A 16416-nucleotide genomic window follows, 5' to 3' on the forward strand; every position below is an offset into this window, starting at 1 on the left:
ACACATATTTTTTAGTCCTGCATGATATCTTTAATTTATTAAGCTGTGTCCTTGGCTAAAGAAATCAAGAATTTCCAGTGTATGGATGTGGAAATTGGAAGTGGGGATGGAGCAAGGAATGGGTGTGTCATTCTGTCATTCCTTAACAGACCTGAAAAATGCAAAGTTCTTATGTAATTTTCCATATCAGTAATGATTCCATTCTATACTGGATACACATAAACAAATATTTCTCTACCATTACCTGTGAAAAGAAAAAAGCACAGTATGAAATATTTCTGTTCACCAAGACACTCCATTACTTGGCCTGTAAGATAATATCTTAAGAATGCTGTAACTATCCTTCTGCTCCCTTACCCAGTATTGCAACACACACACACACACACACACACACACACACACACACACACACTCATTACTCATCACGGCAATCTTGTGGTCTTCTTTCTGATTACTTATCATTTGATTAGAGTTCTTCTGGAATATTTTCATCAAACAGAAGTAGGTATAGGATTTATTTTCTAAATCTTGTGTAATTTTGAATATATTTCTTTTACCTTAACAGTTATATAGGCTGAGCGCAGTAGCTCACGCCTGTAATCCCAGCACTGAGGGAGGCTGAGGCAGGCAGATCACTTTAGGTCAGGAGTTCAAGACTAGCCTGGCCAAAGTGCTGGGATTACAGGCATGAGCCACCGCGCCCAGCTCACCAGGATATTCCTTAAGTGTTTTATTAATCCAGATTGGAATTTGGTGAATTCTTTCACTTCGAATACTCAATTTCTTTTTAGTACGTATGATTTATTATTATTATTATTGGTTTGGTTTAATTACAGCTTCTCTTCTACTTTTCTTTTTAAAAAACCTTTCTAGGCATTTTATTGTTTACATGTAAGATTGTCTGAATCCAGACTTCAAATACTTTGTCAGTTTCTTCAATATTTCCATCTGCTTGTAATTTTGTTTTATGTTTTGAGATTTTTCTCTCACTGAATCTCCTGGGCCACTAATTTAGCCTGCAACTATCCTCTTCTTCAGTCATCAACTGAAATTTAAAATGAAAAACTCGTGTTTCTTATTTCTTTTTCTTTTTCTTTTTTTTGAGACAGTCTCGCTCTGTCGCCCAGGCTGGAGTGCAGTGGCACGATCTCGGCTCACTGCAACCTCCGCCTCCTGGGTTCAAGTGATTCTCCCGCCTCAGCCTCCTGAGTAGCTGGGACTACAGGCACGTGCCACCACGCCCGGCTAATTTTTTGTACTTTTAGTAGAAATGGGGTTTCACCATGTTGGCCAGGATGGTCTCGATCTCCTCACCTCATGATCTGCCCACCTGGGCCTCCCAAAGTGCTGGGATTACAGGCATGACCTACCGAGCCGGGCCTTGTTTCTTATTTCCACAAAGTATTTTATGCTGTAATAGAATCTCTTCTATTTTGGCTGGGCACAGTGGCTCACAACTGTAATCCCAGCACTTTGGGAGGCTGAGGGAGGTGGATCACTTGAGGTCAGGAGTTCGAGACCAGCCTGGCCAACATGGTGAAATCATCTCTACTAAAAATACAAAAATTAGCTGGGCGTGATGGCAAGTGCCTGTAGTCTCGGCTACTAGGGAGGCTGAGGTGGGAGAATTGCTTGAACCCGGGAGGAGGAGGTTGCAGTGAGCCAAGATCGCACCACTGCACTCCAGGCCTGGGCAACAGAGTGAGATTCCATCTCAAAAAAAAAAAAAAAAAAAAAGAATCTCTTCTATTTTATTTTATTTAAGTATATAAATTTAAGGGGTACAAGTGCAGTTTTGTTACATGGATATATCTTGTAGTGGGGAAATCTAGGTTTTTAGTGTAACCATCACCCAAGTATTCAATTTTACCTTCTTGTTCCTTTTTGGTCCAAGTTATTGAATGCCTTCATAGATTCCTGCTTTTCCTTGGGCCGGTTCCTTTTAGATGGGCCAGTTCCCTTCCTTAGCTCACTCATGAGTCTATTTATCATTGGGGTCCAGACCCAGCTAACAGGATACTTTTGCAATCTCTCAAGTAGTACAAGGTCTAGGATTGGCTTCCTCTATGGTAGGTGACATGCCAGCTGGCAGGTTGAAAGGGGATCTGGGAAGCTTTACTGTCCCTGCTGTCCTCAATGGCAAAAGCTAGATCTGTGCAGCCTCAGGCCTGTGGGACACCATCTTTTCACCCTTGAAGCTCTCTCCTTAGGAGATCAGCAGTGCATAGATTTTCTCCAGCCCAGCTCTCCAGAGAAAGGGAGCTCTGGTCATTGCTCTGGGCTTCTTACTGCTGGTCCCACCCCCAGCCTGCTTCAGTCATTCCTGTTGGTTGAACAGGAGGCACCAAGCTTCACCTGCCTGATGGCCACAGCTTTAGCTGCACTCAGGAAGGGGAGTTAAGCTGGTGGTTGAAATAGATGTAGGAAGAGAAACTTGCCATTGTGTCTCATTGGTTTAGGGATGCAGAACCATGGCAACTTCCATGAAAGGCTGCAGAGAGAAAATGAGAAATATTTAGAGCAGTAATTTTTTATTGCTGCCTGTAGAGTCTGAATCAATGGGAAGGCAAATATTATTTATCAAACACTTAAAATAGTATGTCAGGCATGGCGCTAGGAACTTCAGATAAGTTATCTCATACAATCTTCACAACACTATAGTTTTTGTTCGTTAAGAGATGGAAGGAGCTTGCTCGGGGTCACCTTGGCAAGCTATTCAATGGACTAGAATGATTCATCTTCCAAATGTCTACAGTTCCCCATTGAGCTGGAGAGAGAGGGCAGCCTCCCTAACGAGCCAGCTCTACAGCTTCAGCTCCCAAAGCTTGCAGAGTACCAGTTGCCATGACAACAGGACAAAATGCAGAGACCCTAGCTGCTGGGAGGAAATGACATGAGCCAAAAGAGTAAAAACTCACCCCGGTACTGGAATGTATGAGTCACTTACAAAGAACACCTGTAATTTTGAGAGCTTAAACCACCAGAGGGAGACAGAGATTGCCACAGGCGGGGGAATCTGTCTGTATTCCAAATGCTGCTGCCTCCCAGCGCTCCCGCCTTTTCCCCACACTAAGGGCCTCTGCCCAGTCTCCCAGGCTGACCCTTCCTCTTTCAGAGCTCCTCAAACTATCTCCTCCCAACTGGAGCTCAGGACTTGGGACCTGGCCCCTTGAGGGTGACAGAAAGGTGACTTGCATCTTCTGGGGGAAAAAGCAGAGGCATTCAGAAACGAGAGCCCTTCCAGAAAACCAGTTTGCACAATGACCAGGAACTCTGACACCTTAAGCCCATGCGAATCTTGAATAGAGAAATCTTGGACACTGAGGTAAGGGTGGTGCTCGGAAAGTGTCTTGGTCCAGATTTTTCCAGACCCTTTGATTCACAGTGGCATAGATGCTGGCAACCTGCTTGCTAATCGCCCAAGCGATTCCAGCCTGGTGTCAGGGAGGAAGATGCCCTCCGTCCTCTTTCATCTGGAAAAAGCAGGGTAGCATGTGTTAACTCTTACATATCAAATTCCTCTAGGAATTCTGGGGATTCCTTTTATTTGGCTCAGAGAGGAAACACCTAGAACATTTATACTCTAACCCAGAGAACTGAGGTGGTTTCCTGGGTATTTCTGATGTGCATTAAGAAAGAAGCTATTTCATTTAAGCCAAAACATAAGTGGGGGCTGGATTCAAAAGCAGACTCTCCCCTTAAAACAGCTTCTTCCTTTGCTTCTAGTCATTAGGGACAAGTCATGAGCCTCTTAAGCAGTAAGCATGTGAACAATTTGTCTGGTTCTAACAAGTGGTCCTTCCAGCAGGACTTCAGGGAGCAGAAGTGTATGCACTGCTGCAGAAAATGAGTTAGAAACTATCACAAAGGAGGAATGTTGGGCTTGCAGGGAAAAAATTATGAATAATTACCATATAGCAGGGGAATTACATGTCTTTCCTGCTGCTCGAGAACTAGACTAGAACCAAAGGGTGGTCCTGGGCATGAGGCATGAGGAGAACTAGGTAGGGAAAAGGTCTGTGGAGAAGTAGTAGAACCAGAGAATGGAAACAAACAAACAAACAAACAATGCAGATAGAGTCTGATTCTAGCCAGGGCTTCTAGGCAGCTCAAAGCCTAGTGTCAGAGGATGTAATAAACTCAGCACCATTTGGGGCAATCACTGGGACCAGGCACTCCACTCCAGCAGGCAGGGCAAGGGATGCTAGGAAGCTTTCCAAAGATCGTTCCTCAAAGGACCGTCACAGCTGGTGGTGGGGAATGTGGAGGGCAGAAGGCAAAAAAGAGAATGCATGGTACCAGCATTCCATCACCAGGACAAGGCCCCCAGTATTGGCAGGAAGCTAGGTCACTGAACAGAAACTAAGGGGCTAGGTTCAGTGGCTCAAACCTGTGGTTAAAAAAAAAAAATTAAAATTTGACTTTAGTCAAATTAAATTTAAAGGTGTTTAATTGAGCAAAGAATGACTGGCAAATTGGGCCATCTCCTGAGCCAGAGTAGGCTCAGAGACTCCAGCGCAGCCACGTGGTAGAAGATTTAAGGGCAGAAAAAGGAAGGTGACATACAGAAAATGGAAGAGAGGTGCAAAAACAGCTGGATTGGTTATAGCTTGGCATTTGCCTTATTAGAATATGGTTGGAACAGTTGACCACATTTGATTGGCCAAAACTTGGTGATTGGCACAAGAGTAGGCTACAGTCTGTTTACAATTTCCTTTAGCTTATAGTCCACAATGTACAGAGAAACCTTTAGGTAGAACTTAAAATATGTAAGGAGGTAGCTTTAGGCTAAATTTGATTTAATACTTATAATCCCAGCATGTTAGGAAGCTGAGGCATGAGGATCTCTTGAGACCAGGAGTTCGAGACCTGCCTGGGCAACATGAGGAGACCCCATCTCTATAAAAAAATTAGCCAGGGCCTAGTGGTGTGTGCCTGTAGTCCCAGCTACTCGGGAGGCTGAGGTGGGAGGATTGTTTGAGCCCAGGAGCCTGAGGCTGCAGTGAGCTATGATGGTACCACTGTACTCCAGCCTGGGAGACAGAGCGAGACCTTGTCTGTAAAAAAAGAAGAAAGAAAAAGGAACTGAGGGAGTAGACTCTTGGTTAAAGCCCAGCTGGTCGACTCAGCCAATAAAACAGGAGGATTAGGCAAGAAGGAGAAGCATGAGGAACACTGTGGCTTGAGGTTGCTTCACACGGCCCAGGATGCACGAGGCCTGTGGTGTCCTGCTGTGAGAGCTGTGGCAGAGCACGTGGCATTCTGGAATCTCTGAACTTCTCACAGTAACGTTTTTCAATGCTTGAAATAAAATACCCAGGATTATAAAGGAAACCAACAACACTGAAAGATTTTTGTCAAAATAGTATTAGAAAACACATTTTTGAGGCCAGGCGCCGTGGCTCACACCTGTAATCCCAGCCCTTTGGCAGGCCAAGGAAGGCAGATCACCTGAGGTCAGGAGTTCAAGACCAGCCTGGCCAACATGGTGAAACTCCATCTCTACTAAAAGTACAAAAATTAGCCAGGTGTGGTGGCACACACCTGCAGCCCTAGCTATTCAGGAGGCTGAGGCAGGAGAATCGCTTGAACCTGGGAGGTGGAGATTACAGTGAGCTGAGATCGCACCACTGCCCTCCATCCTGGGCGACAGAGTGAGACTGTCTCAAAAAAAAGAAAAAAGAAAAGAAAAAGAAAAAAGTTTGACATAGGGATATGTAGCAACAACAGATATTCCTGTGTTAAAGTACCTAGGGGCTGGTGAGAGGTGTGGCAGAACACATGGGTCTGGGGAATGGAGTGCAACGTGCGGAGCTGGGGAAGACCAGGAAAGACAGAGGGAGGGACCACAACGCAGAGTCCACTGAAGAGGCAAGTTTGGGAGGTGATAATGACTTAAATACCAGAAAAGTTCCTACAGAGGTCAGAGAACTTGCTGTCAGGCTGCTGGGAAGCAGGTTTTTCGGTGTGCGAAAGGTTAAACCTTTAAGACTCAAGTCAACCTCCATCCTCCTGGAGCCCAGGAGACACAAGACCCAGGAAGTACCATCTGTAGGTCCTCACTAGAGTCATCCAACTGTCTTCCATGCTTTTTGTTTGGGAGCCGAATGCTTCAGAAGCAGGATCCTGTGGCATTTCTTGTTTGAATGGTGGCAAGTCAGCTTGACTGCCAGCTCAGCTTCCCAGTCTCCCCAGGCTGGGACCTGCTGACCTCCCTTGCAGGCATTGCTCCATTCTAGTCTCTGGGTCCATTCCCTGCTTTGGGGTAAGAGGCCCATAGCCCAGCCCTGCTCATTCAGGCTTGTTTAGTACCCATCGATGATGCATGAATTTCCTCCTGCTTTGGAGACCTTCAGGCCCCAGTTGGGTGAACTAGACATCTGCCTTGCTTCCTCCACTTGGATCTCTGTCATGGAAACCTGCCTGGTGCCTCAGTTCCTCCAGCCCTGGGCCTGGCTTGCCCATTCCGGGCTCAGTAGCTGGGGCTCTGGTAACCATGGACTTCCTTCCTGATGGCACCTTCTGCTTGTCCACCCTGCTGAACATCTCTTGCCTCTAGTCATCCTGATATACTGATCTGGCAGCCTACTGCTTTACACACATCTGCTATTCTGCTGGCCTACCATCATTGTCTCTGGCGGGACCTGTCTGCCAGGTGCTGAATATGTTCTGAAAGGAGAGCTGGCCAGGCATGATGGCTCATGCCAGTAATCCCAGCACTCTGGGGAGGCCAAGCTGAGAGGATCGCTTGAGTCTGGGAGGCCGAGACCAGCCTGGGCAACATAGCCTCTTGAAAAAATAAGAAAATGAAAGTAGAGCCAACAGGACTTCAAGATGAATTACATGTAGATTGTGAAAGACATGAGTAAAGGGCCGGGCGCAGTGGCTCACGCCTGTAATCCCAGCACTTTGGGAGGCCACGGCAGGCGGATCATCTGAGGTCAGGAGCTCCAGACCAGTCTGGCCAACATGGTGAAACCCCATCTCTACTAAAAATACAAAAATTAGCCGGGTGCAGTGGCGTGTGCCTATAGTCCCAGCTACTTGGGAAGCTCAGGCAGGATAACAGTTGAACCCGAAGATGCCTTGCACTCCAGCCTGGGTGACAGAGAGAGACTCCGTCCAAAAAAAGAAAAAGACCTGAGTAAAGAAAAACTCCAAGGGTTTTGGCCTGAGAAACTGGAAGGAAGGAGTTGCCATCAACCGAGATGGGCAAGGCTGGAGGAAGATTGTCTTGACTAGCTCAGATTACTATAACAAAATACCTTAGGTTGCATAATTTATAAACAACAGAAATTTATTTCTTACAGTTCTAGAGGCTGGGAAGTCTAAGATCAAGGCAGCAGCCAATTCTGTGTCTGGTGAGGGCTCACTTGCTCTGCTTCATAGATAAGGGTGCCTTCTCACCCTTATTCCCTATAGCTGCAGGGCTGAGATTGCTGAAAATCAAACACAGAATTTCACCCTGTGTCTGGCTGAATATCATTGCAAGTTGTACTCCTGGCCTTGCAGAGTGCCCACTATTAAATTGAGAGCATTGATTGAGAAAGAATGGCACCTTGTCAGTTGAGGTGGGGATGTGTGTCAAGATCCTGACAAAGCAGGGGACACTGAGCCCCTAAATTCTGATGAGTCTTTTTGCCAGTGGAAGAGGTCTCTACACCCCTATTGGTATCAACCTCTCTCTTCACAGTGGTATCAGCCTTTCCACGCAGGCAGGACTCGCAGGTCCAGGAATCAAGGGGTGAAAGTGAGAGCGTCACTGTTCACTATTATCCCTGGTAACCCATTAGCAAAATCTTGCTTCCTGGCCCCGTGACCTTATGCTCTGGTGACCTAGAGGTCTTAGTTCCAGAGGGAGGAATGCTTCAACCAGGAAACACAGCAATGATTTCATTGAACTGGAAGTTAAGAGTGTCCCCAGCCACTTTGAGCTCCTCATGGCTCTGAATCAACAGGCAAAGAAGGGAGTTCCTGTGATGGCTGGGGTGACCGATCCTGAATACCAGGAGGAAATTGGACAACTACTCCAGAGTGATGATCAGGAAGAGTATATCTGGAATACAGGAGATCCCTTAAGATCCCTTGGTACCACCTATGATTAGGGTCAATGGAAAACTACAACAACCCAATTCAGGCAGGACTATTAATGGCCTAGACTCTTCAGAAATAAAGGTTTGGGTCACCTCACCAGATGAAGAGCTACAACCAGCTGCAAAGGGAATATATAGTGGGTAGTAGAAACAAGGTGGTTACAAATATCAGCTATGGTCATGTGACCAGTTATAAAAACAAGGACTGTAATTATCCTATTTCCTCCTCATCTTGTTATGAATGTTTGTGTTTCTATTTTTCATCTCTTATTCCCTTATCATATAACATAAGATATACGGACTTTATATCATAGTATTTATTAATTTTACACCACAGTATTTAAGTTATGGACTATCAAAAGAAGAATAAACATCACTGAAGGATTTTACCTCCTCTTTTGGGGAAGGGATTGGTGCATTTTCAGTTGCATATAGGATAGTTAGTTGTATCATGTTAGGTGGATCTATGACCTTGTTATTGACTTTTTTGTTTGTTTGTTTTGAGGAGTCTCACTCTGTCACCCAGGCTGGAGTACAGTGGCATGATCTCGGTTCATTGCAACCTCCACCTCCCGAGTTCAAGCAATTCTCCTGCCTCAGCCTCCTGAGTAGCTGGGATTACAGGCGTGTGCCACCACACCTGGCTAATTTTTTGTATTTTTAGTAGAGACAGGGTGTCACCATGTTGGTCAAGCTGGTCTCAAACTCCTGACCTCAAATGATCCGCCCTCCTTGGCCTCCCAAAGTGCTGGGATTACAGGCATGAGCCACTATGTCCAGCCTGTTACTGTTTTCATTTGGAGATTAAATATGTTTTACAGGGAGGCATGTGGGTGCGAAGTTGACAAGAGGTGGACTTGTGATGGCTAATTTTACATGTCAACTTTACTGGCCAGCCCTCAGGATGCCTAGATATCTGCTTAAACATTATTTCTGCGTGTGTCTGTGAGGAGGTTCTGGAAAAGATTAGCATTTGAATCAGTGGACTGAGTAAAGTAGATTGTCCTCTCCAATATGGGTAGGCATAATTCAACCCTTTGAGGGCCCAAGTAGAAGAAAAAGGTGAAAGAAGGTTGAATTCTGTCTCTTTACTTGAGTGCTTGAGCTGAGACATCAGCCTCCTTATCGTGGAATGTGAGTTATGCCATTAGCACTCCTCCTTCTCAGGCCTTCAGACTTAGACTGGAATTCATGCCATTGGTTTTCCTGGGTCTCTAGCTAGCAGACAGCAGATTGTGGGATTGGTCAACCACCAATATCTTGTGAATCAATTCCTTATAATAAATCTCATTTTGGGCTGGGCACGGTGGCTCACGCCTATAATCCCTTCACTTTGGGAGGCCAAGGTGGGCGGATCACTTGAGGTCAGGAGTTCGAGACCAGCCTGGCCAACATGGTGAAACCTCATCTCTATTAGAAATACAAAAAATTAGCCAGGTGTGGTGGAGCATACCTGTAAACCCAACCACTCTGGAGGCTGAGGCTGAGGCAGGAGAATCACTTGAACCCTGGAGGTGGAGGCCGCAGTGAGCTGAGATTGCGCCACTGCACTCCAGTCTGGGCCACAAGAGTGAAACTCCGTCTCAAAAATAAATAAATAAATAAAAATAAATAAATTTCATTTTACATATACAGTCAGCCCTCTGTATTCATGGGTTCCACATTCATGGATTCAACCAACCACAGATAAAAAAACATTTGAAAAAAAGAAAGAAAAGAATAGTTGCATCTATACTGAACATGTACAGACTTTTTTCTTATAATTTCCTAAGTGACACAGTATAACAACTACTTACATAGCCTTTACCTGGTGTTAGAGGTTATAAGTAATCTAGAGATGATTTAAAGCATACAGAAAAATGTGCATAGGTTCTATGCAAATACTACATCATTTTGTATAAGGGACTTGAGCATCTGTGGATTTTTGTATCTGTGAGGGGTCCTGGAAGCAATCCCCCATGTATACTGAGAGACAACTGTGTGTGTGCATGTGTGTGTGTATTTATTTATGCATATGTGTGTGTGTGTATATATATATATATTTATATCTCCTGTGGGTTCTGTTTCTCTGGAAAACTCGAATACACAGGGTATTAGATGATTTTCATAAAAATGAACATTCACACCCACTGCAAATACCCTAATTTTGAGTTCACATTGCACTTCACATTACACTTGTATTTTTCAAGTGTATTTTTTGGAAACCATAGCACTATAATACTGTGTTCTGCTGCATCCCAGGAGATTCCTCGGTTGGCCACATACTTGCCCTTTTATAGATAGTCCCTGGTGGGTTTGATGGTCTAGCAGGGATCAAAATGAGCTGGCTTTCTGACCCTTCCCTTCATCTCTGCTTCCTAAAGAATCCCACATTGGTTGCTGCAAGGACTTCCAATTGCTGTCAGAACTTTCAGATCTAATTAGATTGGATTTTAATTACTGCGTCAGCAGTGAGCCTGATCTGACTTTTGGAGAGCTAAGGTTGACCCCCACTAAGGGTGCAACCGCCCAAGAAATGCAAAGTGGCTCACTCCATTTAGACTTGGAGGCCAAATGCCAGAAATAGTTCAGAAAAGTAGTGGTGGCTGGCTATGGAAGCCTCTTCCTTAATTTGAGTAGCTCTCTTCCCTGCTTTACGGAGCAGTGGAGATGGCGGCCCAAACCAAAGCCAAGTAAGTAATTTACAAGTGAAGGCACATGCACCTTCCTGAGTGCTGACAGGATGTATTTCCAATTTACCAAGTGGCTGCAGGTCCTCATCTTTCTTGGCTGTCAACAGTTAAGAGACGATTATTTTAAAATATACAATCTAGGACGGGTGTGGTGGCTCAGCCTGTAATCCCAACACTTTGGGAGGCTGAGGCAGGTGGATCACCTGAGGTCGGGAGTTCGAGACCAGCTTGACCAACATGGAGAAACCCTGTCTCTACTAAAAATACAAAATTAGCCGGGCGTGGTGGTGCATGCCTGTAATCCCAGCTACTCGGGAGGCTAAGGCAGGAGAATCGCTTGAATCTGGGAGGTGGAGGTTGCAGTGAGCCAAGATCACGCCATTGCACTCCAGCCTGGGCAACAAGAGTGAAACTTCATCTAAAAAAAAAAAAAAATTAGCTGGGCGTGGTAGCACACGTCTGCAATCCCAGCTACTTGGAGGCTGAGGCAAGAGAATTGCTTGAACCCAGGAGGTGGAGGCAGTAGCGAGCTGAGACTGCGCCACTGTACCCCAGCCCGGACGACAGAGTGAGACTCCGTTTCAAAAAACAAAAACAATAAAATGTACAATTTAAACAAGGTGTCTCAGATATCTACTTTGTAGCACTGCATTGATTTGCATTTGGCGAGTTTCCTTTAACATCACCATACTTCTCCCGCATCACTGACCTCCTCAGGCCAAAACTAGACCAGCGTTCTTTTGTGTGTGTGTGTGTGTGTGTGTGTGTGTGTGTGTGTGTGTGTGTGTGTGCGTGATTTAAGATGGCTCTGTCATCCTGGCTGGAGCACAGTGGCAGGATCTCAGCTCACTGCAGCCTCTGCCTACTGGATTGAAGTGATTCTCATGCCTCGGCCTCCCAACTAGCTGGGACTACAAGTGTGTGCCACGCCCAGCTAATTTTTGTATTTTTAGTAGAGACTGGGTTTCACCACGTTGGCCAGGCTGGTCTCGAACTCCTGACCTCAAATGATCTGCCCACCTCAGCCTCCTAAAGTGCTGAGATTATAGGTGTGAGCCACTGCGCCCGGCCACTAGACCAGCTTTGTTTCTGCTAAAAGTAGATCTGAGCTTATCATATCTGTTTTTTCCCCTAGAAGACAAACAACCTGAAAACTATCCACTTAAGAATGCTGAGGCTCTCTGCATAGGACTGAGTACTGAGCTAGGGACAGCCCCATAAGCTAGTTGATACCTGAACAGGGCTGCTTATGAAAGTCACAGAAAATTTTCATCTTTTTTCTGCAACACCAAAGTTCCTCCAAGGAAAATATCAGCCTGGCCATCCAAGTATAAAAACAGCAATCCACTAAGTTTATTCCTTACCCGAGGCTGCAAACTTCAACACAGTCTACAATTCTTCAATTACTAGAACTGTAAATAGCAAGTTACTAACAATGGAGAAAAAGAAAACAATAACAAAACATCTAATACCGCCCTTTGTTATTCAAATTCTTTTCCACAAGTTAGTTCCCAAAGATCTCTTCCTTTGCTGATGATTCCTTTTAAGCTTGCCAGGAGTGCAGTGCAAAAGCAGTAGTGGGCAAAGATTTATGAATATAAGAAAGAACTGGCCGGGCACAGTGGCTCACGCCTGTAATCCTAGCACTTTGGGAGGCCAAGGCAGGTGGATCACGAGGTTAAGAGATCAAGACCATCCTGGCCTCTCTACGAAAAATACAAAAAAATTATCTGGGCGTGGTGGTACATGCCTGTAGTCCCAGCTACTCGAGAGGCTGAGGCAGGAGGATCACCTGAACCTGGAGGTGGAGGTTGCAGTGAGCCGAGATCGCGTCACTGCACTCCAGCCTGGTGACAGAGTGAGACTCTGGCAGGTTCACTTTGGGCACAATGACCCCGCTTCTGTAAATGTGTCCTCACCTCAAAGCGGGGGTGACAAGACCACTCACTGAAACACAGGAAGGCAAATCCTAGAATGTATTAATATATAAATAACTAAAGGAAAAATCTCATTCCTCTTCATTCCTGCTTTTATGACTTAACATGTCTGCAACATATTCATGTGGTAGTAAATGTTTGGTATTCTCTAGTCACGATGAACCTGGAAAGTGTTGACTCATGGGCTAGGGTAAGAGAAAGGAGAATAGTTCAAACAGCTTCTACAGATTGGTTTCTAAGAATCAGGATGGGAACATGTGCACAGTGAACTTTCAGCCTTTACGACCAACCACCTGCTGCACTTGGACATCTCAAAAGCACATCAAGTACACACTGTCTAAAACCAAGCCTACTAACTTCCTTCTCCTTTCGGGCTTCTAGGATCCCCCTAACTCACTAAATGGCATTAGTTGTGAAAGCCAAAAATCTAGGTTGCCATCATTGACTCATCTGTTCCCCCACTCACCCTGTCACAATCCATAAGTCACTCCGGTTCATCCACTTTATCCCTCTAGAAGTAGTCACTGTCATTAGGATCACTCCTGAGCCGGGCACGGTGGCTCACGCCTGTAATCCCAGCACTTTGGGAGGCTGAGGCAGGCAGATTGCTTGAGGTCAGGAGTTCGAGACCCGCCTGGTCAATATGATGAAACCCCGACTCTACTAAAAATACAAAAGTTAGCCGACCGTGGTCATGCACCTGTAATCCCAGCTACTTGGGAGGCTGAGGCATGAGAATTGCTTGAACCTGGGAGGCGGAGTTTGCAGTGAGCCGAGATGGCACCACTGCACTCCATCCTGGGCAACAGAGCGAGACTCTGTCTCCAAAAAAATTACCGCCTAATTTCTTCCGATGCATTTTCCCTTAAAATTTACAAATATTGGCTGGGTGCGGTGTCTCACACCTTGTAATCCCAGCACTTTGGGAGGCTGAGGCGAGTGGATCACCTGAGGTCAGGAGTTCGAGACCAGCCTGGCCAACATGGTGAAACCCCGTCTCTATTAAAAATACGAAAATTAGCCGGGCATGGTGATGCGTGCCCGTAATCCCAGCTACTAGGTGGGCTGAGGCAGGAGGGTCACCTGAACCTGGGAGGCGAAGACTGCAGTGAGCTGAGATCGTGCCACTGCACTCCAGCCTGGGCAACAAAGCAAGACTCTTTCAAAAAAAAAATTACAAATATTATGACATAGTTCACAAACGCCAAAGCAAAATAATATATAAATATGCACACCATAAAGCATGTTAACAAAATGAACATTCACACACTGACTAGCCAAGTTGTGAAAACATTACCATCATCTTTTAAAAATGTAAATATAACCAAATCACTCTTTGCTTACAATGCACATAATTCAGCCACACTGGTCTTTTCGATTTCCCAGTTCTGGCTGCCTCTTATCTTAGGATCTTTGCTGTCACTTCCGTTAAGAATGTGCTCTCCCACCTTCATTCTCCACCCGTTAACCTCTCTTATGAAATCCTCCTGAGTAGTCACGATTTCCTTCACAAGCACTTACCACATCTGGAATGACACAGTTCTGACTGATTGTTAAAGACCGGAAGCTCCATGTGAGCACAGACAGCATCTTTTCTGCTCATCACCGCATATCTTGTACCCAGCGTAATGCCCTGGCACCAGTACCTGTTTGCTAGATGATAAAACGAAGAGGAATTTCCTGGGTTGTGGATAGGGGCCAGTGGAAGAAAAAAAAATCTCTTACAATTTCATAGGTAGCACAGCCATTCCTTATGAAAATTATCATTCTTCCCCATCAGTAAATCCTACCTTTAATGAATTCTAGCCTATGGGGCCATATATTTCAAAGGATTGCCTAATTTAATTGCTTTGGCCTTGATACGCTTCAAGAACACAGCAATCTTCTACTAGTGGGTCTCTCCATATTAATTTCCACTCATTTCGCTATCGCCCATCTGCAACAGACCTTAGGACTAGTATTTTTATTTATTTATTTTTTTGAGACCGAGTTTTGCTCTTGTCGCCCAGGCTGGAGTGCAATGGCTCGATCTTGGCTCACTGCAACCTATGCCTCCTGGGTTCAAGCAATTCTCCTGCCTCAGCCTCCCAAGTAGCTGGGACTACAGGCGCATGCCACCATGGCTGGCTAATTTTTTGTATTTTTAGTAGAGACAGGGTTTCTCCATGTTGGTCAGGCAGGTCTTGAACTCCTGACCTCAGGTGATCCACCCACCTCAGCCTCCCAAAGTGCTGGGATTACAGGCGTGAGCCACCGTGCCCAGCCAAGGACTAGTATTTTTAAAGTTCGCATCTTGACTTTGACCTTGCTCGACCAAGAATTTATTCTTGGAACCAAAAATCAAGAGGTGAATAATTATCCTTTTCTAGTACATAGCTCAACAAAATTAACTGATAACAACTTTTAAGTATATATACACTGTGAAATAAATGTTCTGTAATAGTACATGTGAATGTAAAACACTAAATTCACAAATACGCTTTGTCATGAATCAGCTATGTGCCAAGACAAATTCCTTAACCGTGTTTACATCATCTTAAGTATCTTAAGAAAAATATGATGTGTTTATCATACATTATTTAACTAGAAACAAATTGTTATTCTAAAAGGTCAGGAAAAACTATTCTTTATGTATGAAATGAAGTTATTTCTACTTATTTTAGAGGCTATATACCTATACAGAGAGGCCATACTTATAACATCCATGGATTTGACTGGCATTTAAATTCAGGTTCTGCAGTTTACAACAGTAACTCCTGGAAAAGTCTCATTTAGTTTCCTCACCTATGAAAAAGAGAAGCATTGCCTATCAAACAGGATTACCTGAAGATTAAACAAAATAACATAGGTGGAAGCACCTGTCATCATTTATACTCAAAAAGGTTTTTTAAAAAAGTGAACAGACATGGGATAGCATGGTAGCGTACATAGGTTACAAAATCCTAAAAAGATAGTAAGTTATAAAGAAAATAAAGCATAGTGGCTCACACCTCTAATCCCAGCACTTTGGGAGGCCGAGGCAGGTGGATTGCTTGAGCTCAGGAGTTTGAGACCAGCCTGGGCAACATGGCAAAACCTCGTCTCTACAAAAAATACAAAGATTAGCCGAGTGTGATGGCATGTGCCTGTGGTCCCAGCTACTTGGGAGGCTGAGGTGGGAGGATCACTTGAGCCTGGCAGGTCGAGGTTGCAGTGCGCCGTGATTGCACCACTGCACTCCAGCCTGGGTGACAGAGCGAGACCCTGTCTTAAAACAACAAAACAAACACACAACCCCCAGAGTGCTTGTTTATATTAAAGCAAATGGTCATAAAATATTGGACTAAACCTTAAAATAAGTCTGCACCTTCAGTAGCAATTAAATATTTGCTTTCAAAGGGAAAGGACTGGCATGTGGACAAGGCCTCATGCTGGCTGGCTATAAAATGCATCACTGACTCACATACGTAAACTACCTTAGTATTAATGACTTCTAAAAAACTTCTGAGGGTTTTGCTTACTTGTGTTTTCTGCAGTGAAGCATAGAAAATCCTCCTCTCCTTGCTCCTTTTTCCTTTTCATAGCTCTGAGCTGTTTTGCCCACTCGCACTAGTTACTGCACAGCAGGGCGGCCAGGTCAGAGCTCTGGGCTGTGTGCTACAGCTTCTGCAGTGATGACTTCAATCTCCTGACCTAACTTGACAAGACTGCAACTCTTCCCAGCACTCTCTGCAG

The 16416-nt window shown here is 44.9% G+C and overlaps 1 long non-coding RNA gene across 1 annotated transcript; it reads right to left on the reverse strand.

Annotated features, from left to right (window-relative positions):
• Nucleotides 1-1740: 1740 nt before the first annotated feature.
• LOC124902409 (uncharacterized) lies at nucleotides 1741-14727 on the reverse strand. The gene is made up of 2 exons (XR_007062110.1): nucleotides 13169-14727; nucleotides 1741-2491 (listed from the first exon to the last, which is right to left on the reverse strand). It is a non-coding gene; the product is annotated as an uncharacterized LOC124902409 (long non-coding RNA).
• Between the last annotated feature and the right edge of the window lie 1689 nt (nucleotides 14728-16416).

This window comes from Homo sapiens, chromosome 10, assembly GCF_000001405.40.
Source record: "Homo sapiens chromosome 10, GRCh38.p14 Primary Assembly".
Classification (NCBI taxonomy): domain Eukaryota; kingdom Metazoa; phylum Chordata; class Mammalia; order Primates; family Hominidae; genus Homo; species Homo sapiens.